A 25,464-nucleotide genomic window follows, 5' to 3' on the forward strand; every position below is an offset into this window, starting at 1 on the left:
TATAGGAGAGTTACTCACTTGTGTACATTAATTTTGTATCCTGAAGCTTTGCTGAATTCATTTATCAGTTCTAGGAGCTTTTTGGAGAAATCTTTAGGGTTTTCTAGGTATAGGATCATATCATCAGCAAACAGCAACATTTTGACTTCCTCTTTACTGATTTGGATGCCCTTCATTTCTTTCTCTTGTCTAATTGCTCTGGCTAGGACATCCAGTAATACGTTGAATAGAAGTGGTGAGAGTGGGCATCATTGTCTTGTTCTAGTTCTCAGAGGGAATGCTTTCAACTTTTCCCCATTCAGTATTATGTTGGCTGTGTGTTTGTCACAGATGGCTTATATTACATTGAGGTATATCCCTTGTACGCTGATTTTGCTGAGGGTTTTAATCATAAAGGCAATGCTGGATTTTGTCAAATGATTTTTCGGCATCTATTGAGATGATAATGTGATTTTTTAGTTCTGTTTCTGTGGTGTATCACATTTATTGACTTGTGTATGTTAAACCATCCCTATATCCTTGATATGAAACCCACTTGATCATGGTGGATTATATTCTTGTTATGTTGTTGGATTCAGTTAACCAGTACTTTGATAAGGATTTTCACATCTATGTTCATTAGGGATATTGGTCTGTAGTTTTCTTTTTTGTTATGTACTTTCCTGGTTTGGGTATTAGGGTGATACTGGCTTCATAGAATGATTTATGGAGGATTCCCTCTGTCTCTACAATTGATACCAATTGTCAATACAGTTGGTACCAATTCTTCTTTGAATGTCTGGTAGAATTCAACTGTGAATCCATCTGGTCCTGGACATTTTTTGTTGGTAATTTTTTTATTATCATTTCAGTCTTGCTGCTTGTTATTGGTCTCTTCATGGTATCTAATTCTTCCTGATTTAATCTGGGAGGGTTGTATCTTTCCAGGAATTTATCTGTCTCCTCTAGGTTTTCTAGTTTATGCATGTAAAGGTGTTCATAGTAGCCTTGAATGATCTTTTGTATTTCTGTAGTGTCAGTTGTAACATCTCCCATTCTATTTCTAATTGAGCGTATTTGGATTTTCTCTCGTTTTTTTGGTTAATCTTGCTAATGGTATATCAATTTTATTTATCTTCAAAAAAACAGCTTTTTCTTTCATTTATCTTTAGTATTTTTTGTTTGTTTGTTTCCATTTCATTTAGTTCTGTTTTGATCTTGGCTATTTTCTTTCCTCTGCTGGGTTTGGGTTTGGTGTGTTCTTGTTTCTCTGGTTCCTTGAGGTGTGACCTTATATTGTCTTTACTCTTTCAGACTTTTTGATGTACGCATTTAGGGCTATGAACTTTCCTCTTACACTACCTTTACTGTATCTCAGAGGTTTTTATAGGTTGTGTCACCATTATCATTCAGTTTGAAGAATTTTTTAATTTCCATCTTGATTACATTGTTGAGCCAATGATCACTCAGGAGCAGGTTATTTAGTTTCCATGTATTTGCATGGTTATGAAGGTTCCTTTTGGAGTTGATTTCCAGTTTTATTCCACTGTGATCTAAGAGAGTACTTGATGTAATTTCAGTTTTCTTAAATTTATTGATACTTGTCTTGTGGGCTATCATCTTGGAGAAAATTCTATGTGCTGATGAATATAATGTATATTCTGTGGTTATTGGGTAGAATGTTCAGTAAATATCTGTTAGGCCCATTTATTCCAGGGTATAGTATAAGTTCATTGTTTCTTTGTTGACTTTCTGTCTTGATGACCTATCTAGTGCTGTCAGTGGAGTATTGAAGTACCCCACTAAAACGTATTGCAGTCTATCTCATTTCTTATGTCTACTAGTAATTGTTTTATAAATTTGGGAGCTCCAGTGTTAGGTGTATATATATTTAAGATTGTGATATTTTTCTGTTGGAAAAGGTTTTTGTCATTATATAATGTCCCTCTTTGTCTTTTTAACTGTTGTTGCTTTAAAGTTTGTTTTGTCTGAAATAAGAATAGCTACTCCTGCTTGCTTTTGATGTTCATTTGCATGGGATGTCTTTTTCTACTCCTTTACCTTAAGTTTATGTGAGTCCTTATGTGTTAGGTGAGTCTCTTGAAGGCAGCAGATAGTTGGTTGGTGACTTCTTATCCATTCTGCAGTTCTGTATCTTTTAAGTGGAGCATTTAGGCCATTTACATTCAATGTTAGTATTGAGACGTGAGATACTATTTCATTCATTATGCTATTTGTTGCCCATATACCTTGGTTTTTTGGGTATTTTTAAATTGTATTTTTGTTTTATAGGTCCTGTGAGATTTATACTTTATTTTATTTATTTATTTATTTATTTATTTATTTATTTATTTTGAGACAGAGTTTCACTCTGTCACCCACACTGGAGTGCAGTGGTATCATCTCGGCTCACTGCAACCTCCACTTTCCAGGTTCATGTGATTCTCCTGCCTCAGCCTCCCGAGTAGCAGGGATAACAGGCACCCACCACAATGCCCAGCTAATTTTTTTTTTTTTTTTGTATTTTTAGTAGAGACAGGGTTTTGCCATGTTGGCCAGGCTGGTCTCGAACTCCTGACCTCAGGTGATCTGCCCACCTTAGCCTCCCAAAGTGCTGGGATTACAGGTGTGAACCACCATGCCAAATTTCATTTGTAAATTATCATACAGTAAAATTGAGTTTTTTGTTTGTAGAGGTACATGAAATCAGGAACTGTTCTGTATCCTATTTGTGATTGTGGTTATATAACCACAGATCCAATTGTTTTGTAATCAGAATACAGAACAGTTTCACTGATTAAAAAACTGCCTTTATAGTTACACCTCACCTCACCCCTAATCCCTAGCAACCACTGATCTTTCCTTCAACATTATAGTTTTATCTTGTCAAGAATGACAATGTAAATGAAATTAAACAGTATGTAATTTTTGGAGACTGATGCTTTCCACTCAGCATAATAACCTCATCTAAGTGTTTGTGTACAGGCCTTTGTGTGAACTTATGTTTTCAATTACTTAGGGTAAATACCCAGAGGTGAAATTACTAGGTTATTTGCTGAAAGTATGGTTTCATTCTAAGAAATTGCCACAGTGTTTTCCTGAGTGGTGCAGGCACCATGTCTCATTCACAGTAGGAATGTATGAGAGTTCTAGTTGCTCTGCATTCCATTCAGTGTTTGGTATTCTGTGTGGGCGTGTGTGTGTGTGTGTGTGTGTGTGTATACATATATACAGATATACACATATATATGTATACATATGTATATATGTATATGTATACATATGTGTATATATATGTAGACATATATACATATATATAGATGTATATGTATACATACATCTATGTATGTGTTTTTATATATATATTTATAAAAACACATACATAGATGTATATGTATACACCCACATATAACCATTCAAATAGGTGTGCAGTGGTCTCTCATCATGGTTTTAATTTGCATTTCCCAAATGGCTAATGATATTGACATTGATATTAACCTTCAACTCCTGAATTTCCAAGTTTCCCTCTACTTGCTTAGTAAATATTTGTAGAGCAAATCTACTAGCAACAAATCCTCATAGTTTTCTTTCATCTGAAAATGTATTTATTCCATTTAAGTTCCTGAAGGATATTTTTGCTGGATATATAATTCTGAATTGATAATATTCCCCTTTTCTTTGTTATCTCAAATCTACTATTTGCCCCATTCAGTAAGTTTTTGTTTTCAGTTATTATATCTTTCAGTTTAAAGTTTTTCACTTCCTTCTTCATTGCTTCTATTTTTTGCATGAAACTTTGTATTTTTCCATTTGTTTCAAGAGTGTTTATGATTGCTTGTTGGGTCTTCATATGATAGCTCTTCTAAAGTTTTTATGATATAATTCTAAGATCTTTCATCTGGGGCCATCTTTTCCTGTTGAGGGAAGTCAGGGACCCTAAACGGAGGGCCTGACTGAAGCCATGGCAGAAGAACGTGGATTGTGAAGATTTCATGGACATTTATTAGTTCCCCAAATTAATACTTTAATAATTTCTTATGCCTGTCTTTACTGCAATCTCTAAACATAAATTGTGAAGATTTCATGGACACTTATCACTTCCCCAATCAATACCCTTGTGATTTCCTATGCCTGTCTTTACTTTAATCTCTTAATCCTGTCAGCTGAGGAGGATGTATGTCACCTCAGGACCCTGTAATAATTGCATTAACTGCACAAATTGTACAGCATGTGTGTTTGAGCGATATGAAATCTGGGCACCTTGAAAAAAGAACAGGATAACAGCAATTGTTCAGGGAATAAGAGCGATAACCTTAAACTCTGACTGCCGGTGAGCCGGGCAGAACAGAGCCATATTTCTCTTCTTTCAAAAGCAAATGGGAGAAATATCGCTGAATTCTTTTTCTCAGCAAGGAACCTCCCTGGGAAAGAGAATACACACCTGGGGGTATAGGTCTATAAATGGCCCCCCTAAGTGTGGTTGTCTTTTATGGTCTGTAGACTGTAGGGGTGAAATAGACCCCAGTCTCCCATAGCACTCCCAGGCTTATTAGGAAGAGGAAATTCCTGCCTAATAAATTTTTGGTCAGACCAGTTGCTCTCAAAACCCTGTCTCCTGATATGTTATCAATGACAGTGGTGCCTGAAACTTCATTAGCAATTTTAATTTCGCCCCGGTCCTGTGGTCCCATGATCTCGCCTTGCCTCCACTTGCCTTGTGATATTCTATTACCTTGTGAAGTACTTGATGTCTGTGACCCAAACCTATTCGCACACTCCCTCCCCATTTGAAAATCCCTATAAAAACTTGCTGGTTTTGTGGCTTGGGGGGCATCATGGAACCTACTGACATGTGATGTCTTCCCCGGATACCAGCTTTAAAATTTCTGTCTTTCGTACTCTGTCCCTTTATTTCTCAAGCCGGCCGATGCTTAGGGAAAATAGAAAAGAACCTACGTGACTATCAGGGCAGGTTCCCCGATATTTTCCCATACAAGTAGTTCCCCTTTTTTTGGTAGGACAAGTAATATTTAATCATATCCTGAATATTTTAATATTATGTTATGAGATTCTGGGTCTCCTTTAAATCCTATTGAAAGTGCTGATATTTTGTTTTAGTTTACAGTTAACCTGGGGAGGCTCAGATAACAAGATGTAACCAACCTTCCGTGGGTATTGATTCCAATGTTAATTCAAGTTTCAAAGTTTCTGCAATACTATTACAGTTTTTCCTGTGTGTGAGCTCCTCACTGGTCAATCTGGGATATGGGTAGTATTCTATCTGAGATATCCTTACTAATGAAGTTCAGATTCATGGGTGAGCAGCTCAGGAGTGAGCCCAGAAGTTCCTAAGCCCTTTGCTCCCCACATGTCCCCCATTACATTCTGGTTTTCTGGGGCTCCCTTTTTTAGACCTCTGCCCCTGAAGCTGGGACTTGAATTATCCTGCTCTCCTATACACTTCTGTGAGTGTCCTTGCATCTAGGTCAACTAGGAAAACAGAAGCATAGGAAAGTCAAGGTGAAACTATTTTAAAATCAGTTCCATCTTAAAACTAGCAAGGACATTCCTTGTCAGTCACCATCAGTAGTCATAAGATGTTTACAGTAAGGAAGCAGTTCAGTAATGCCTGCAAGGACAAATTCTTACAAGAGTAGAATGTCCAGATGTCCTGATATTGCATAACAATATATGCTTTTAAGATAGTTAAAAGCCATGCTTTGATGCACGTATGCACTAAAATGCTAAGAACAACTATCTTTCAGTCAACTCAACAAAGTACTAAATTTTGTCATGTTTACATTAAGGAACCAGTTCAGTAATCCCTGCAAGGACAAACTCTTACAACAGCAGAATGTCCAGATGTCCTGATACTGCATAACAATATATGCTTTTAAGTTAGTTATAGTCATGGTTTGATGTACTTATGCACTAAAATGCTAAGAATAACTGTCTTTCAATCAACTCAACAAAGTACTAAATTTTATCATGACCACACACCCGCATGTAGACATAATTAGCTCAGCTTTTTCATATATAAGACCCCTATATGAGAAGGGTTTAAAACAGATGGCACATTCCTCCTCTTACTTTCTGAAGACACCCTATTGTGCATCTGAGTAACTTTCAATAAACTATCTCTTCTCACTGCACTCTGTGACGTGTCTTGAATTTTGAATTCCTTCCTGTGTGAGATCCAAGAACCCTCTCTTGGGATCTGGAATTGGGACCTCTTTTTCTGGCATCAAAATGACAGGAGGACAAAGAGGTTTTGCCCCCATCCTCCTAGATTTACAAGTCCTCCATTAAGATAAGAAGGTTCTTTTTCCTCCAAGGTTTGGCTCCTGCAGATTCCTGTTGCATTACAAACTCTACCGTGGCTGCCACTGTCAAGAGATTGCCTAAGGGTGGGGAAGTAAGAAAACAGAGAGAAGAAAGACAAATGGAATTTCTCTCTCTCTCTTTCCCACTCTCTAAGGTAGAATTTGAATGCCACTTCTGGAGCTCTCTCTGTCTGCATCCATGCTTACTTGGGGTTTCAGGCTGTATTGAATTAACACCAGGGGATCCTAGAGGGGAATAAAACTGGTAAAAAAAACTCACTACTGCTTCCATGGCACTTTAAATTCTAACCTTCTGCCCAAAACCACCTGCTACTATTAACTTTTCAGTGCCCTCAAATTATGGCTCCATGCACTCTGTGCAGATTTTATAGTTGTGTAACTGCTCAGTGGGTTCACCTTTCCCACTGCCTAGACAGAGCAGATTCATCAAGACAGGGGAATTGCAATTCGGAAAGAGTAATTCATGCAGAGCTAGCTGTGCAGGAGACCAGAGCTGTATTATTACTCAAATCAGTCTCCTGTAAGCATTCAGAGATCACAGTTTTCAGGGACAATTTTGTGGGTGGGGGAAGGCCAGTGAGTCGGGAATGCTGATTGGTTGGGTCGGAGATGAAATCATAGGGAATTGAAGCTGCCCTCTTGTGCTGAGTCAGTTCCTGGGTGGGAGCCACAAGATCAGATGAGCCAGTTTATTGATCTGGGTGATACCAGCTGATCGATCAAGTATGGGATCTGCAAAATATCTCAATCACTGATCTTGGGAACAGTTTAGAGAGGGTCAGAATCTTGTAGTCTCCAGCTGTATTACTCCTAAACCCTAATTTCTAATCTTGTGGCTACTTTGTTAGTCCTGCAAAAGCATTCTAGTCCCCAGGCAAGAAAGATGTTTGTTTGGGAAAGGGCTGTTATCATATTTGCTTTAAACTATAAACTAAGTTTCTCTGAAGTTAGTTCAGCCTAATGCCCAGGAATGAACAAGGACAGCTTGGAGGTTAGAAGAAAGATGGAGTTGGTTAAGTCAGATCTCTTTCACTGTCTCAGTTACAATTGTGCAATGGCAGTTTCAGCTGCATTCAGTGGGATGGGCTGGGCTTAATACCTAGTTGACGGGATAATCTGTGCACCCAACCTTCACGGCACACGTTTACCTATGTAACAAACCTCCACATCCTGCACATGTACCTTGGAACTTAAAATAAAAGTTAATTCAGAATAAATGGATTTAAGTCAGGGTGGAGTGTGCTTACTCCATTTTACTCAGAACTAGATTCATTACTTTATGTTTTGAATAACAATTGTATTTTGTTCCTCAATTATTATTATTATTATTTTTAAATAGAGAAAGGTTCTCACTATGTTGCCCAGGCTGGTCTTGAACTCCTGGACTCAACTGATCCTCCTGCCTCCATCTCCCAAAGTGTTGGGATTACAGGTGTGAGCCACTGCATCTGGCCCTCAATTACTCTTTAAAAGTCACCTGTTCATTCAAAGTTCGATACTTCTTAAGTAAGTTTTAGTAATTCATATTTTCTTAGGAAATTGTCCTTAAATTAGCACATCTTAAAATGTATTAACCAGAAAATTTGAGTAGCATGTGCTTTGATTTATTGTATCCTCCTTCATACCTGTGGTGTTAGTTTCTTCCCAATATTGCGTATTGGTAATTTTACTGTTTTTTTCTTAATTGCACCTGTAAATGTTTATCTATGTTGTTATGCTTTTTAGAGAACAAATGCTTAGACTCGTTTTCTGATACATTAAATTATGCTTTTATTCTGAACAATGTCTTTTGTAGTTCCTTGACTTAAATCCATTTATTCTGAATTAACTTTTATTTGAAGTTCCAGGGTACACGTGCAGGATGTGGAGGTTTGTTACACAGGTAAACATGTGCCATGATGGTTTGCTGCACAGATTATCCCATCAACTAGGTATTAAGCCCACCACCTATTAGCTATTCTTCCTAAGGCACTCCCTCCTCCCACCCCCCCACCCTCCCACGGGCCCCAGAGTGTGTTGCTTCCTGACATGTGACCATGTGTTCTCATCGTTCAGCTCCCACTTACAAGTGAGAACATGGGGTGTTTGGTTTTCTGTTGCTGCATTAGTTTGCTGAGGATAATGGCTTCCAACTCCATCCATGTTCCTGCAAAGGACATGATCTCATTCCTTTTTGTGGCAGCATGTATTCCATGGTGTATATGCACCACATTTCCTTTATCCAGTCTATCATTGATGGGCATTTAGGTTGATTCCATGCCTTTGCCATTGCAGTGCTGCAATGAACATAGGTTTGTATGTATGTTTATAATAGAATGATATGTATTCCTTTGGGTATATACCCAGTAATGGGATTGCTGGGTCCAATGGTATTTCTGTTTTTATGTCTTTAAGGAATTGCTACACTGTCTCCCACAATGGTTAAGCTAATTTACACTTCCACCAACAGCATATAAGCATTCCTTTTTCTCCACAACCTCGACAACATCTGTTGGTTTTTTACTATTTAATAGTAGACATTCTGACTGGCTGAGATGGTATCTCATTGTGGTTTTGATTTGTATTTCTCCAATGATCAGTGATATGAGCTTCTTTTCATATATTTGTTGGCCACATGTATGTCTTCTTTAGAGAAGTGTCTGTTCATGTCCTTTGCCTACTTTTTAATGGGGTTATCTGTTTTTTTTTCTTGTAAATTTGTTTAAGTTCCTTATAGACTCTGGATATTAGACCTTTGTAGAAGGATAGATTGCAAAACTTTTCTCCCATTCTGTACATTCTTTGTTCACTCTGATGATAGTTTCTTTTGCTGTGAAGAAGCATTTTAGTTTTATTTGATCCCATTTGTAACTTTTTGCACTTGTTGCAACTGCTTTTGGTGTTTTCTTCACAAAATTTTTGCCATGCCTATGTCCTGAATAATATTGCCTAGATTTTCTTCTAGGATTTTTATAGTTTGGGGTTTACATTTAAGTCTTTAATCCATCTTGAGTTGATTTTTGTATACAGTGTAACGAAGGTGCCTAGTTTCAATTTTCTGCATATGGCTAGCCAGTTCTCCCAGCACCATTTGATAAACAGGGAATCCTTTCCCCATTGCTTGATTTTGTGAGATTTGTCGAAGATCAGATGATTGTATGTGTGCAGTCTTATTTCTAGGTTCCCTATCTTGTTCCATTGGTCTATGTGTCTGTTCTTGTACCAGTATCATGCTGTTTTTGGTTACTGTAGCCTTGTAGTATAGTTTGAAGTTGGGTAGCGTAATGCCTCTAGCTTTGTTCTTTTTGCTTAGGATTGTCTTGGCTATTAAGGCTCTTTTTTGGTTCCATGTGAATTTTAAAAGTTTTTTTTTTCTGAATTGTGAAGAGTGTCAATGGTAGTTTAATGGGAATAGCATTGAATCTATAAATTGTTTTAGGCAGTATGGCAATTTTCACGATATTAATTCTCCCTATCCATGAGGATGGCATGTTTTTCCATTTGTTTGTGTCATCTCTGATTTCTTTGAGAAGTGTTTTATAATTCTCATTGTAGAGCTCTTTCACCTCCCTGGTTAGCTGTATTCCTAAGTATTTTATTTTATTTTATTTTATTTGTGGCAGTTGTGAATGAGATTGCGTTCCTGATTTGTCTCTCAGCTTGGCTATTGTTGGTGTATAGAAATGCTAGTGATTTTTGTATGTTGGCATTGTTTCCTGAAACTTTGCTGAAGTTGTTTATCAGCTGAAGGAGTTTGAGGCCAAGACTCTAGGGTTTTCTAGATATAGAATCGTGTTATCTGAAAACAGTGATAATTTGATTTCCTCTCTTCCTATTTGGATGCCCTCTATTTCTTTCTCTTGCCCAATTACTCTGGCTGGGACTTCCAATACTATGTGGAATAAGAATGGTGAGAGAGGGTATCCTTGTCTTGTGCCAGTTTTTAAGGAGAATGCTTCCAGCTTTTCCCTAATCAGTATGATGTTGGTTTGGGGTTTGTCATAAATGGTTCTTATTATTTTGAGGTATATTCCTCCAACAACTAGTTTATTGAGAGTTTTTAACATGAAGGAATGTTGAATTTCATCAAAAGTCTTTTCTGTATCTATTGAGATAATCATATGGCTTTTGTCTTTAGTTCTGTTTATGTGATAAATCACATTTATTGATTTGTGTATGTTGAATCAACTTTGCATCCTGGGGATGAAGCCAAGTTGGTTGCGGTGAATAAGCTTTTTGATGTGCTGATGGATTTGGTTTGCCAGTATTTTTTTGCAAATTTTTGCATCAATGGTCATATTAGTTCATTTTCACCCTGCTGCAAAGACATACCAGAGACTAGGTAATTTATAAAGAAAAGAGATTTAATTGACTCACAGTTCCATATGACTGGGGAGTCCTCAGGAAATTTACAATCATGGTGGAAGGGGAAGCAGGCATGTCTTATGTGGTGGCAGGTGAGAGAGAGCATGTGAAAGAAGTGAAGGGGAAAGAGCCCCTTATAAAACCATCAGATCTCAGGAGAACTCACTCACTAACATGAGGAAAGCATGAGGGAAACAAATCCCATGATCCAGTCACCTCCAACCAGGTCTTTTCCTTAACACCTGGGGATTACATTTTTGAGATAAGATTTGGGTGAGCACACAAAACCAAACCATATTATTCTGCTCTTTGCCCCTCCGAAACCCATGTCTTTACACATTTCAAAACCAATCATGTCTTCCCAAAAGTTCTCCCAAAGTCAACTCATTCCAGCATTAACCCAAAAGTCCAAGTCCAAAGTCTCATCTGAGACCAGGCAAGTCCCTTCCACCTAGGAGCCTGTAAATAGCAAGTTAGTTACTTCCAGATAGAATGGGGGTATAGGCATTTGATAAATGCTCCCATTCCAAGTGGGAGAAATTGGCCAAAACAAAGGGGCTACAGGCCCCATGCAAGTCTGAAATCCAGCAGAGCAATTATTAAATCTTAAAGCTCCAAGAGAATCTCCTTTAACTCCATGTCTCACATCCATGGCACATTGATGCAAAGGGTGGGCTCCCATGGCCTTGGACAGCCCTGCCCCTATGGCCTTTCAGGGTAGCGTCCCCTTCCCCAGCTGCTTTCACTGCTGGCTTTTCCAGGCATGTGGTGTAAGCTGTCAGTGGATCTAGCATCCTGGGGTCTGGAGGATGGTGGCCCTCTTTTTATATCTCCACTAGGAAGTGCTCCAGTGGGGACTCTGTGTGAGTGTTTCAACCCCACATTTCCCCTTTGCACTGCCCTAGTGGAGGTTCTCCATGAGGGCTTTGCCTCTGCAGCAGAATTCTGGCTGGACATCTAGACATTTCCATATGTCCTCTGAAATGTAGGTAGAGGTTCCCAAACCTCAGTTCTTGACTTCTGTGCACCCATAGGCCCAACACCATGTGGAGGCCACCAAGGCTTAGGGCCTGCACCCTCTGAAGCAATGGCCTGAGCTGTACCTTGGCCCCTTTTAGCCATGGCTAGAGCTGGAGTAGCTGGGACACAGGGTACCAAGTCCCTAGACTGCACAGAGCAGGGGGAACCCTGGGCCCAGCTCATGAAACCATATTTCCGTCCTAGTCCTGTGGGTCTGTGATGGGAGGGGCTGCCATCAAGATCTCTGGTATGCCCTGGGAGACATCTTCACCAGTGTCTTGGCGATTAACATTTGCCTCCTAATTACTTATGCAAATTTCTGCAGCCAGCTTGAATTTCTCCCCAGAAAATTGGTTTTTCTTGTCTATCACATCATTAGGCTGCAAATTTTCCAAACTTCTATGTTCTGTTTCCTTTTTAAACATAAGTTCCAATTTCCGATTATCTCTTTCAGGTTTAAAGTTCCACAGATCTCTAGGGCAGGGACAAAATGCCTGCCAGTCACTTTGCTAAAGCATAGCAAGAGTGACCTTTGCTCCAGTTCCCAAGAAGTTTCTCATCTCCATCTGAGACCACCTCAGTCTGGACTTCACTGTCCACATCATTATCAGCACTTTGATCAAAACCATTCAACAAATCTCTAGGAAGTTCTAAACTTTCCCACATCTTCCTATCTTCTTCTGAGCCCTCCAAACTGTCCCAACCTCTGCCTGTTACCCAATTCCAAAGTAAAGTTGCTTCCACATTTTTGGGTATCTTTATAGCAGTACTCCCTCTACCAGTACAAATTTACTGTATTAGTCCATTTCACACTGCTACAAAGACATACCTGAGACTGGGTAACTTCAAAAGGAAAGAGGTTTAATTGACTCACAGTTCCACACGACTGGGGAGGCCTCAGGAACCTTACAATCATGGTGGAAGGGAAAGCAGGCATGTCTTACATGGTGGCAGGTGAGAGGGAGCATGGGTAGGAAGTGAAGAGCCCCTTCTAAAACCATCAGATCTCAAGAGAACTTCCTCACTATCACGAGAACATTACGGGGGAACCACCCCCATGACCTAATCACCTCCCACCAGGTCCCTCCCTCAACACCTGGGGATTACATTTTGAGATGAGATTTGGGTGTGGACACAAATGATTTCTGCCTTAATTTCATTATTTACCCAATAGTCATTCAGGAGCAAGTTGTTCAAGTTCCATGTAGTTGTATGGTTTTGAGTGAATTTCTTGGTCTTGAGTTCTAATTTGATTGCACTATGGTCTGAGAGATTGTTATGATTTCAATTCTTTTGTATTTGCTGAGGAATGTTTTACTTCCGATTATGTGATCAATTTTAGAGTAAGTGCCATGTGGCGATGAGAAGAATGTATATTCTGTTGTTTTGGGGCAGAGAGTTCTGTAGATGTCTACCAGGTTCACTTGATCCAGAGCTGAGTTCAGGTCCTGAATATCTTTGTTAATTTTCTGTCTTAGTGATCTGTCTAATACTGTCAAATGGCAGCCTGCTCCTTCCTCTGGAAACTCCATCTCAGATGGGTATCTGCCTGTTGTGGGCCTGGACATGCCTGTAGCAGGTGGTTGGAGACCTCTGTTGGGAGTTTTCACATAGGAGGAACAGGATCAAGGAACCATTTAAAGAATCACTCTAGCACTTTTGGGTAGAGCAGGTGTGCTGTGTGTTGGGGATCCCTTCAGTCCCAGATCGCTGTGGGCTCTTCAGGGCTGGCAGCCTGGATTGACTGAGAAACTCGAATAGCCAAGATGGCAGCCTGCCCTGCCCCCCAGGCACTCCATCCCAGGAGGAAGTTAGAGCTTTGTTAGCCTTAGAACATGAGCGGGGAGTGGGTTGATGTCCCAGCTGGGAGGACCTGCCCCATGAGCAGGAGTGGATCGGGGATCCCACTTAAAGAAGCAGTCTGGCCACGATCTGGCAAAGTAGCTGTGCTGCACTCCAGATACTGTTTCTCATCTGGACCATTTGGAGTCTCCAAAGCCACTGAGCTGGAATAGCTGAGTCGACCAAATCACAGAGATTGTGGCAGCCCCTCCCCACAGGAGCTCCATTCCAGGGAGAGATCAGAGCTCCGTCCATACAAAACTTGCTGGGGGTGCTGTAGCCCCAACAGGGAGGTCCTGCCCGTTGAAGAGAAGTGGACTGGGGTCCTGCTTAATGAAGCAGTCTGGCCATGATCTGGCAAAGCAGCCGTGCTGCACTGGAGGACCCTTCCTCTTCTGGACCATTTGAACTCTCCAAAGCCGGTGGGCTGGAAGGCTGAGTCTACCAAACCACAGAGATGGCAGCTGCCCCTCCCACTGGGAGCTCCATCTCAGGCGGGCTCCACGCTGTTGCCATTGGCTGGCTGGAATTCCAAGCCAGTAGGTCTTATCTTGTGAAGTGCTCTGGAAGTGAAGCCCACAGACCGACGCTGCTTGGCTCCCTGGATTCAGCCTCCTTCCTAGGGGTATGTACCGACCTCCTGCCTTGCTGAGGATCCTAGGGCCGAATATGTAAAGCTCCTGGGTCTCTGTGCATGCCTGAGCAGCTGCTCTGCCGAGATTCCGCATAGCTCTGTGTGTCAGACCCAAGGCCCTGGTGGTGTGTGCTCACAAGGGGATCTCCTGATGCAGGGGTTGCAAACATCCGTGAAAGAGGCCTGGTTTCTCAGGCATGGTTGCACAATCACTCACGGCTTCCCTTGGCTGGGGGTGGAGGGTTCCCTTGTCTCTGTGCCACTCCCGGGTGGGCCATCGCTCCACCCTGCTTTTCTTATTTCTTTGTGGGTCAAATTGATTGCCTAGTCAGTCCCAGTGCAAGATCCCAGATATTTCAGTTGAAGGTGCTGTATTTACTTACCCCTTATTCTGCTTTTTTAAATAGAGCTTTTACAGATAAAATTTTCCATTAACTAAATCTATGTGTAGTATCATTATTATTTTCTAAACAATCTATAATTGGAGTTTATTTTCCTCTTTTGCCCAGAAATTATTGAAGTAATGGTGTGTTTTATTTTTATGTTGTTTTTTTAACTTCAAGTGTTTATTTGTATGTTTTTTTTGACCTATTTTAAATTAATTCCTGACTTTATTTCACTGGAGTTAAAAACAGGCGTGTACATCCTCTGATCTTATTGAAATTTCTTGTGGCCTACTATATGACATGCAGTAAAACATACCATTAGATTTTGAGAAAAATAAACACTTTTGGTTGTAAGATATGTATAATTTATCTTATAAATCAACTTTATTACATACATTATCCAACTACTCTATATCCTTAGTCACTTTAATCTATTCCATCTGTTTGAGGCTGAAAGTCTGTTAAAATCTAGTACAGTTTTTGACCATTTATATTTGTATTTTTCCAGGGTTTGCTTTATATTTTTATGATGTTTTAAATTTTATGCATAAATGCTCATATTTACATATTACTGTGAATAAACATTCATTTATTAACAATGTAACTTCATAACTTTAATAGCATAAAACCAGTCTTTATTCATCTAATATATTTACCTTGAATTCTATCTATGTCTGGATGACACTGCAGCTCTTTTTTTTTTTTTCCAGGAATGAAGAGTTTAATGTAGGATGTAGACTTTATATGGTAGTTGGGAGAACTGTAGGAGTGAGAGTCAGGGACATCACCAGCAGAGATCAGGGAATCTGCCACCACAGATCTGTGTCTGAAACAGCTGGATGGCACTTCAGCTTTTATTATAATATTACTATTATTATTATTATTATTGTCATCACCATCATTACTATTTCCGATTTGCTTGGATATTTCTTTACTCTTTCTTTTTACCTTCTTTTTTAGTCTTTGTCTCTTTGAGATGCATTAGGATATTAACCCATTTTCACGAATTATTTTAACTAAAACATTTAGTTTCCTGTCACTTTATTCCAGGTTCTTTGTTTTTAATGCATGTTTGCCGCCTTCCTTTGTTCCCTTCCATTTTCTTTGCAGGGTAGATTGGACTCTACTCCTCAGTTCCATGGGAGGCATTGCTTCAACACCCCTTAATTTGGGGCTCAGCCTTGTGACTTGCTTTAACAAACAAGATGTTCACAGAATCGCACAAGCTTGGGCTTGAAATGTATTAGCACAGTGAGCTCTCTCTTGAACCTCTGTTCTTGCCATAAGAAAAAACATGCCTGTATTAGCCCATTGGTCCCAGGAGACAGCAGGGAGATAAGGAATGCAGAGCCAAGTCTCCGTAGCCCAGCCCATAATAGCCAGGTGCAGGAGGGCCCCCAGCTGAGATGAGTAGAGCCACTCCTCCAAGCTGAGCCACTCCACTAAGCCCAGCCAGTGTGTGCTTATGATCGCACATACTAACATTTGTGGGGTTTTGTTGTTGTTATCTCATTTGTGTATGCGTAGATGTATGTGTGTATTCATCTCTATGTGAATATAGATAACAGACAAATTGTATAACCATGAACTTGGATGTTGTGGCAAACACTGTTAGTTGAGTCCCCAGTAATCATACCCATCCCCTTTACCCTTGACAGGTTCTCACTACTACAGTGGCTGAAGAAAACAGAATCTTATTTTCTCAGAACCTCCACTTGCAGGACATGGTCATGTGATCCAATTTGACCAAAGAGACATAAGGGGAAGTCAGTTGGATGCTTCTTGGAAAGGTTTTTCATCCCTGAGAAAGACAGGGAGTTCAATGAGACCTTTTCCTCAATGGTTCTCTCCAGTCCCTTTAATACAAACACCCTAGTTTCTGCCTTTTGGGGGGCCATGTGAGAATATAATGCCCTGAGCTGTCACAGTCTGCTTGTGACCTGAGGTGAAAGGGCTCGGAATGAAAAGCTAGCATAGTTCAATTCCCACCTATGAGTGAGAACATGCGGTGTTTGGTTTTTTGTTCTCGCGATAGTTTGCTGAGCCAACTAAAAAAAAAAAGCTAGCATAACACTGGTAACTCACAGAGCCAACTCTAGGACATTTATTGTGTTGACTTTCAAAATGATCAGGTGAAATCTTTTATTTCTTATTAAATAGGACATTTCTTATCCATAGCCTTAATCATAAATGCTATGTAGACTTTTTCTCCTCTGTTCAGTGTGACCTTTGTCTTTCTATATGGAGAGACCTAGGGACCGGTTCCTGAATCGTTGGCTGCTTTTAGGAAGTAGAAGGGTGTACTTGCTTCTTGGCCCTAGATTTCTCATTTGAGAAGTGTCCTTTTGTCTTTATTCTTTTCTCCACTGTGATTTCAGATCTGGTGTGTTTTGGAACATTAGGTGAGGTCCCTATGGGCAGACACCTGGTCCCTTGAGCAGCTTTTAGGGAAAGGAAATTCCCTTGAGGATGAGTCATGCCGTGCATCCAATCCCTGGCTTGGATGTCTGTCACTCAGCCTTCTACCCCTCACCCACACAGTCCCTGGTACAGCCTTTGGTTGGGTATTTTGCACAGCCTCTGTTCCAGGCAGCCAATGGGACACAGCTGGGGTGAGGTCAGTGAGTCACTTGCCTTGAGCACAAAACTTAATGAGGTGCCAACAACTTTAGTAATCAAGATAAATGACATCCTAACGCAATATTTTTAAAATAGCAGAATGAATGCAAACAAATGATTAACAAAATATCACAGTTTTAATTAACAAAAGGATCTGCCGTGCACTTGCATGACTTACCCTTCACTTGTTCCACCCTCACTGTAGCCATTCAATGGGCATTCTCTTACCATGTTCTTCAGCCTCCTTGTGTCACTCTATCTCACCTAGCGATGTGCGACCCATTCCTGGGGATACTTTATATTAAAAATCTGGATAGTACAGGCAAATAATCAGCTACTCTTAAATTAATTTACCCTGTCTTTGAAGGTCAGGATGGTGCCCTGCTAGTCCCATCAATCCATCCTCTTTTCATCCAACCCATTAGTCCTATCTAAAAAAGGGAGGGGCCAGAAAAATAATCTGTACTCCCAGACCACATCTTCCAAAATCTCTATTTCATGCAGAGGTAAAGGAGCTTTTGACCTGGCCAGCTAACACGGTTTTTATCTCTCAGTGGGAATACAGGGGTGTTCTAGAGGAGAAAAATAGAATGTCCCTTTAGTTGTTAAAGTCTCCTACAAGTTAAGATTTCATATACTGTTCTCCTATACTCACATATGCATAAAAACATCAGAAATATATACATCTATATGCCATGCCTTTACATTATTTTCCATTTGAAATAAATCAATTAATGTTTGTCAATCAGAAAGAATACTAAATGATGTGTAGCGAGTTAAAAATGCCACATTATTTCTGAACAGCTCTAAAATGTTTAAATCATGTAACTCTTTAACCATTTTAATTGCAAATACCCACAGAGGAACCTATGCACCAAAATAAATACAAAAACAAAAACTCTTTTCTGTCCCATTTCTTCCTATTCAATCACTCTCAGCCAGAGGAGAAGCCTGTCAGGACACAGGGGGGTCTGGATCCTTTCTTCAGCAGGTGTAACCTGGGCCATCCTGCCCCAGCACTACTGTATGTCAGCGCTTCTATATTGTTACCCAGCCTAAAGTTTCTCACGGGCCTCATCTTTTCCGATTTTGTAGAGAATGGGCTGCATTTTTATGCTGGAGCATAAGAGAAAGCCTCCAGGTAGCTGGCTCAGGGTTTGGTTTCATGTACTGGCCCTCTCTCTTTCCTTTCAGAATTTCAAAATGCAACCATAATTCCCTTTTTTTTTTTTTTCTTGAGATGGAATCTCGCTCTGTCGCCTAGGCTGGAATGCAGTGGCACGATCTCAGCTCACTGCAAGCTCCGCCTCCTGGGTTCACGCCATTCTCCTGCCTCAGCTTCCCGAGTAGCTGGGACTACATGCGCCCGCCACCACGCCCGGCTAATTTTTTGTGTGTGTTTTTAGTAGAGGCGGGGTTTCACCCTGTTAGCCAGGATGGTCTCGATCTCCTGACCTCGTGATCCACCCGCCTCGTCCTCCCAAAGTGCTGGGATTACAGGCATGAGCCACCGCGCCCGGTCATAATTCCCTCTTTATACCAGAGTCAGCTGCTTATGAAATTCTGTAGCTATCTGCAAAATTATTTATCAAACCACTTAAAGCATGTGTATTCTACTTTGTGAAATGTGTGATTCTGCCAATGTTAGGCCACTTTAGCAATGGGAAGACCATCCAGGAAGGAGTGAGTCATCCTCCCAGTGCCCATGCTTTTGAATTGCGCTATATTCGTGAAACTTGTATTCACCGCCATCCTCTTCCCTTCCCCCACCCCAGATGTTCAGAGTGAGTGGATTTGTCTGGATAAATGCAGAGAAGGCTTCCTGTGCCTCAGCTGCTGTTTTACATTCTGCTGTTCTTCCTTGCACCTCACCAGAGTGACCAATCTGAGAAACCCAGGAGCTGTGCTCCTCCGAGAAAAAGAGAAGCTGAAGAGCCCTCACTGACGTAGGTCATCTTATTTCCTGTTTTACTTATATACTCCTCTTTACAGACAGTTAGTTGAAGTGGAGACAAGAGAATGTAAGGGTGAAGCCAATTGGGGAATTCAACAGGAAGTGTTTCATTTTGCTTTGTTTTTACCTTATCAGTTTGGTCTATTAAAGAATCAGGGTTTGAAGCAGAGGCTCATGACCCTTCTCACAGAGACTTCCGTGCTTTTTTCCCAGATCCAAGGCACATGGACATACCACAGTACAGGTCCCTGCTGAAAACACAGAAAATGCAGAAGAATCCCCGGAACACAAGTGACCACCAGAGCGCTGTACTGCACTTTTTCTAGCCCTGCACCAAGACAGAGGCTTAATTTAGTCCAGAGATTCAGAAGGGAAATCCAGAATAAGCTAAACCTAATGGAGTGAAAAAAGAGAACATTCTCATCTCTTTAGCTTTGGCAAGATGCCAGACAACCTGTGCCAATATCCCAGAATCCATCACCTGTCGAGCTTTTACTAGAAACATCAGGTTTCCCACATCCTGGGGTACAAAATTCATCCTCAATGCTGGTTACCTGCCCCATGCAGATGCTGGCATTTAAAATGTTTTGTCGGTGGGTCACGCCTGAAATCCCAGCACTTTGGGAGGCCAAGGTGGGCAGATCATGAGGTCAGGAGATCAAGACCATCCTGGCTAACATGGTGAAACTCCATCTCTACTAAAAAAAAAAAAAAATACAAAAATTAGCCAGGTGTGGTGGTGGGCACCTGTAGTCCCAGCTACTTGGGAGGCTGAGACAGGAGAATGGCGTGAACCCGGAAGGTGGAGCTTGCAATGAGCCGAGATCGTGCCACTGCACTCCAGCCTGGGCAACAGAGCGAGACTCCATCTCAAAAAAATAAAAAATAAAAAATAATAATAATAAATAAAATGTTTTGCCTCCCTCAAAGGAAGTTACCAGTAGTGATACCTCCAGTTTCCAACACCTTTTTGATATCCTCTTTTGTACTTTAGGGTACCCTTAAAAATTTAAAACCTCAGTTCTCCTTTAAATTTATTCTGAGGCCCTGGTTTCCTGCCACCGCAAAATTCAGTTATGCTTGTGCTTTCTGTCACATAAAAAGCAAATAAGTTAATTTCATGGCCTTATATTTCTCATAATCTCATCCCTTCTGATCTTTTCCACATACTTCTCCAACGCATCTGGAGCATGGGGGGTTTCTTTCATCAGCATCTTCCAAGCCCGTGTCCTCAGGAGGCAAGGAAAAAGCAGTGTGATTCCTTCCATGTGTTCATATGCTTGCAAGAGAGACACCAGAGATGAATCACGAAAAACACGCCAAAGGAAAGAGAGCACTTCCCAAGACCTAGAAAGGAGTTGAGGTAAGTCATCTATTCATAGACCACAACTTTGTCCTCCAGCCCTAAGAATAAAGGTTTTCAACCTTGGCTATACCTTAGATTTTTAAGAGTACCTAGGGTACTCTTAAAAAATGCCTATCCTGGGCCAGGCGTGGTGGCTCACGCCTATAATCCCAGCACTTTGGGTGGCCGAGGCGGGCGGATTGCTATGTTGGCCAGGCGGGAGTTTGAGACCAGCCTTGCCAACATAGTGAAACCTCTTCTCTGTGAAAAATACAAAAATTTAGCTGGGTGTGGTGGTAGGAACCTGTAATCCCAGCTACTTGGGAGGCTCAGGCAGCAGAATCGCTTGAACCTGAGAGGCGGAGGTTGCAGTGAGCTGAGATCACGTCACTGCACTCCAGCCCAGGCGACAGTGCAAGACCCGGTCTCAAAAAAAAAAAAAAAAAAAAAAAATTCTTATCCTGAACCACGTAAGTAAGAATCTCTGGAGTGTTTTGTTTTGTTTTTAAATTCCTCAGGTGATTCTAATATGCAGTCATAGTTGAGAATCATTGCCTTGGTATGACAGACCAAAGTTGTCCCCTAAGAAATCTATTTTATTTTCTCCTGAGCCATATATTATGAAACTCTTCCGTCTTGAAGTGGAAGGAGATGGGTAACTTCGAGTTCCCCATACATCTCTGTAATCCTCCATCAGAGGTAAGAGAATGCGTCCTACAAATGTACTACCTGAATACCAGAATATTAAAGAGTGAGTATTCACAAACACACCCCATACATGAATTATGTACATATGTGTAAATTACATATGATAATTAGGAAATGTTGTTTTAGCCACTGGAAGTACAGAAAAATTATTTCATGGTACTAACATGGCTTTTATCCATTCTAACTTTATTGAAAATGAAGCATAGCTATTCTGAAGAAGTTAGGAGAGTAAATGTGCTGACTTCTTAATGAAAGGAAAAGGGGAAATAACTCCATAAACTTTATTGCAAATATTCTTAAGAAAAAGATAAAAATTAAAACTTTAAGCATGCATTCCTAATTACTTAATTTCAAACATTTCATTATTTCTTTCTTCCTTTCTTTCTTTTTTGTCTTTGAGATGGAGGCTTGCTCTGTCACCCAGGCTGGAGTGCAGTGGCACGATCTCAGCTCAGTGCAGCCTCTGCCTCCTGAGTTCTAGTGATTCTCCTGCCTCAGCCTCCCAAGTAGATGGGATTACAGGTGTGCACCACCATCCCCAGCTAATTTTTTGTATTTTTAATAGAGATGGGGTTTCACCATGTTGGCCAGGCTGGTCTTGAACTCCTGACCTCAGGTGATCTGCCCTTCTTGGCCTCCCAAAGTGCCGGGATTACAGGCGTGAGCCACCGCACCCAGCCCATTGTTTCTATTTTTATCAAAAGTTTGCTGTTCCTTCTTTCAGGAGAAGTTGAATGATTGTTCTTATTTGTTGAACATGACCCTAAATGAATTTCATGAGCATGAGCCTCTTGGGATTCTAAATGCAAGAATTCTGTGTTGATGCTCCAGATGGGGCATATAATCTTTGGGACCTTCTCCTTAGCAAAAATGAGTTTCTCCTTTCCAAAAAAGTATATTTATCTAAACTACTAAGGATTTCGTTGGAGACGTTCTTTTAGAAAAATTATGCAAAGCAGCCTTCCTAGAAGTAATCAATAAACTTCGATAACATCTACACGCCCAACAGCTTCTGCATCTCTGCAATGTTTTCGTTCCCCCTCTATCTATTCTATATCTGGTTGCCTTCTTTCCACATATATGTAAATGAGGAGACACATAATAGTTTACATAAAAATTCTTTCTCTCCTTTTAAATTATGTTCTGATCTTATAGTTTAAATCCAGAGAATGTGTTGTACAGACAACTCAGAATGAACTTTTTGCTTTTCGGTCTCTTTTGGATGATTTTGCTCATTGCAACATAGTAATTAGAAGGATAATCAATATTTCCACTCAAGCCTCTCAAGCCTAAGAATTATCTCCCACAAACTAATAAGCTAACGGGAAATTCTGTGTTTGATATTACTTTTTGAATTTTCTGTGTTAGTACAACAAAAAGTAATAAATTTGAAAGTCATTAGATTTGATAGGCTGTAGGCCAAAAATGCTCACTGCTATGGCACATAGATAAATAAGTAAATAGATAAATTAATACATAAAGACAAAGGATACTATGTCTCAGTTGCAAATTTAAGGAAATAGATCAATGAAATGGCACAGAAATTTCTGAAACAAACACCAGAATAGTTAAGAATTTAGTGCATAATAAAGATTGCATTTCACATCAGTGGAAAAAGAAGGATTGTTTAATAAACATGCTAGGATAATAGCTTACTTATGAAAAAATATAAACTTAGATTTCTGATGGATTTAAGAGATAAATATACATGCTAGGATAATAGCTTACTTATGAAAAAAATATAAACTTAGATTTCTGATGGATTTAAGAGATAAATATAAAGAGATTAAATCATAAATAAGTCCAAAGAATATATAGATAAACATTTATAAGATTGTAGGGTAGGAAGGAATATTTTAAGGCTGAACACAAAGGAAGAAACCACAAAGAAAATGTTAAATTATTTGATCATATAGCAATTACCACTTTTATTCATCAAAAACTCACACATAAAATAAAAAATAAAAATAACAAATTAGAAAATAGTAGGAAAAAAATTGAATTATCCTTATATATAAATCACTCTTATAAGTCCATATTAGCAAGACAACTGGAAATATGGACAAAGGATAATGGAAAATAATTTACAAAAGAATAAGTTCAGATGGACATCAAACATATGAAAAACTATTCAACCACAATTGTAATTATGGAAATATGCTTTATAACAAAAGCAAGAAACTTTCTTTTGTATTTCATGTTGGCAAAAATTAATGAATATATGTATATTCATCCCCAGAACTGGCTAAGGCTGATTTGGCAGACACAAAACACATGTGCTTCCATGCTTCCATCCTTCATTGAGGTTAAGCATCACTAATTTATCTTAGCATTCTTTGCTGCCATATTCAGATGTGGTCTTGCAGTCATTCTCAAAAAGGAGTACCAGGTCAACATTGATATTTAATCAATGATGGTACTCTAGATGAAATCTAATTGCCCTTCCCAGGGTTTGAAGAAAGTGGAGCTCTTCTACATGGTTAGTCCTTGACAGTCTGATTCAATAATATGATCTTTTTTTTAAAGCTATGATAATGGCCATATCCTTTAGCTAGAAATCTTTTCTAAGGAAATAGTCAGAGATGAGCACATGCATTCATATATGATAGAATTTACAGTACAATTACAAAAGTGAAATGTTGGAAATCTTGGAAACAACTTTTATATATAATAATAAGAGAATGGTTGAAGTATATTAAATATAAAGAAAAATACATAGTTATGCTTATGTTTTCAAAACTAATGTTAAAAATGCTAAATACGTACTGTTAAATTGATACACAGTTGTGCAATTTTTTTAACGTGCACATAGAAAAGATGAGAAGAAACATACAAGTATGTGATGACATTTATCTTAAGGTAGAACAATAGTTATTGATTGTCACTTATTTGTTATATTTTAAACTATAGAAAGTAATTAAGCTACAGATTATAAATTTGTATCTATATGCAGATAGATATTATAAAATGTCCATCAGTTGTGTCCTATAGCTAAATAATGTAATATCGTAAACCTCCTGAAATGTCCATATTTAACATAAAGGAGTTTTTCAAATTTTGGCTTTATGTGACAGACCGTCCTAAACTTAATGACGTAAAGTGATAATGTCTTACTATCATCCTTGATTCTATGTGTTGACTGGAATCAGTTGAGTGGTTCTCACTTGGGATTTCTCATGTGATGGCATTTAGACAGCGGCTGGGTCTGGAGTGATCTAAAGGCTAAAATGAGCAAGATGTCCAGATGTCCAGGATTCTCCAAGAGAATAGCTTGGACTTTTTCTACGGTTGCTCAAAGCTCCAAAGACAGGAAGCAGAAACTGCTGGATCTATTAAGAGTGATGGCTGGTACTGACATGCCATCACTTCCACCATATTCTAATGGCCAAAGCCGATATAAGGCCAATCCAAGAAAGAGGTAGAAAAATGGACTCCACCTCTTGATAAGAGAGTAGCCAGGTCACACTGCAGAAGAGCAGGTGGAATGGAAAATATTATCATGGACCACTTTGTAAAATACTCTCTGCCACTCATTATTAGAAGGAAATTTGTCTCTTTTAGAGATCTCCTTCTTTTTTTCAATTTGCCAGCCCGATACCCAAGTATTCTATTCCTTCAAAGAGCTTTAATGTGCTCAGTGGATCTTAAGCTGATATAAAGTCTAAAAAAATAGGAATGTCTCTTACTTCTCCACTTGATAAAGGACCAATTTGAAGTAGCTTAATTTATCCTTTGCAGAAGTGTGATTTGATCTCAGACTCACAAATTTCAACAGTTTAAAATGAAGTAACATACTCCACTAACTTCTGTTCACCCTAATTGTGCCTTGTTTTCCTCCAGCCAGATGTTTCTTATAATTAATTTGCCTAATAATATTCAGACTAGGAAACCATTCTGCATTAAAATGATGCACTAAACATACCCACACTTACTTTCCATATCCTTGGCTCTTTCTAGATCTACCTTGCAGTTTTCAACATACTTAATCTCTTTTGAATCCAGATGGAATCTATGTTTACCAGGAAAGAAAACAAAACCTGTAACAGTATTTTATATTCTTTCATTTACATGGAAAAGATATGAAGATATAATATGTGCTTAAAAATTATACACACAAGGCAGTGGTTTAAGACAGTGTGGCAGGCAACTTCCAAAATGGCCCCAAATTAGCTCCGCTTCCTGATATTCATTGTGCTGTATAATTCCTTCCCTTTGAATGAGGGGCTGGCCTTAATGATTCACTTCCAACAAATAAAATATGGTTAAAATGTTGGGATGTCACTTTCAAG

General features: G+C 39.5%; 1 long non-coding RNA gene across 1 annotated transcript, besides 1 other annotated feature; it reads left to right on the forward strand.

Annotated features, from left to right (window-relative positions):
* Positions 6,195 to 6,489: a silencer, noted in NCBI's record as "tiled region #9261; HepG2 Repressive non-DNase unmatched - State 24:Quies, and K562 Repressive non-DNase unmatched - State 24:Quies". NCBI's record gives its function as "represses a minimal TATA promoter and a strong SV40 promoter by Sharpr-MPRA in HepG2 and K562 cells {active_cell/tissue: HepG2 | K562}" and the evidence as "EXISTENCE:reporter gene assay evidence [ECO:0000049][PMID:27701403]".
* Positions 14,090 to 19,707, forward strand: LOC124902247 (uncharacterized). Its single transcript, XR_007061730.1, has 3 exons — positions 14,090 to 14,154; positions 19,044 to 19,114; positions 19,336 to 19,707. It is a non-coding gene; the product is annotated as an uncharacterized LOC124902247 (long non-coding RNA).
* The last annotated feature ends 5,757 nt before the right edge of the window (positions 19,708 to 25,464 follow it).

Source organism: Homo sapiens, chromosome 9 (genome assembly GCF_000001405.40).
Source record: "Homo sapiens chromosome 9, GRCh38.p14 Primary Assembly".
NCBI classification, from domain to species: domain Eukaryota; kingdom Metazoa; phylum Chordata; class Mammalia; order Primates; family Hominidae; genus Homo; species Homo sapiens.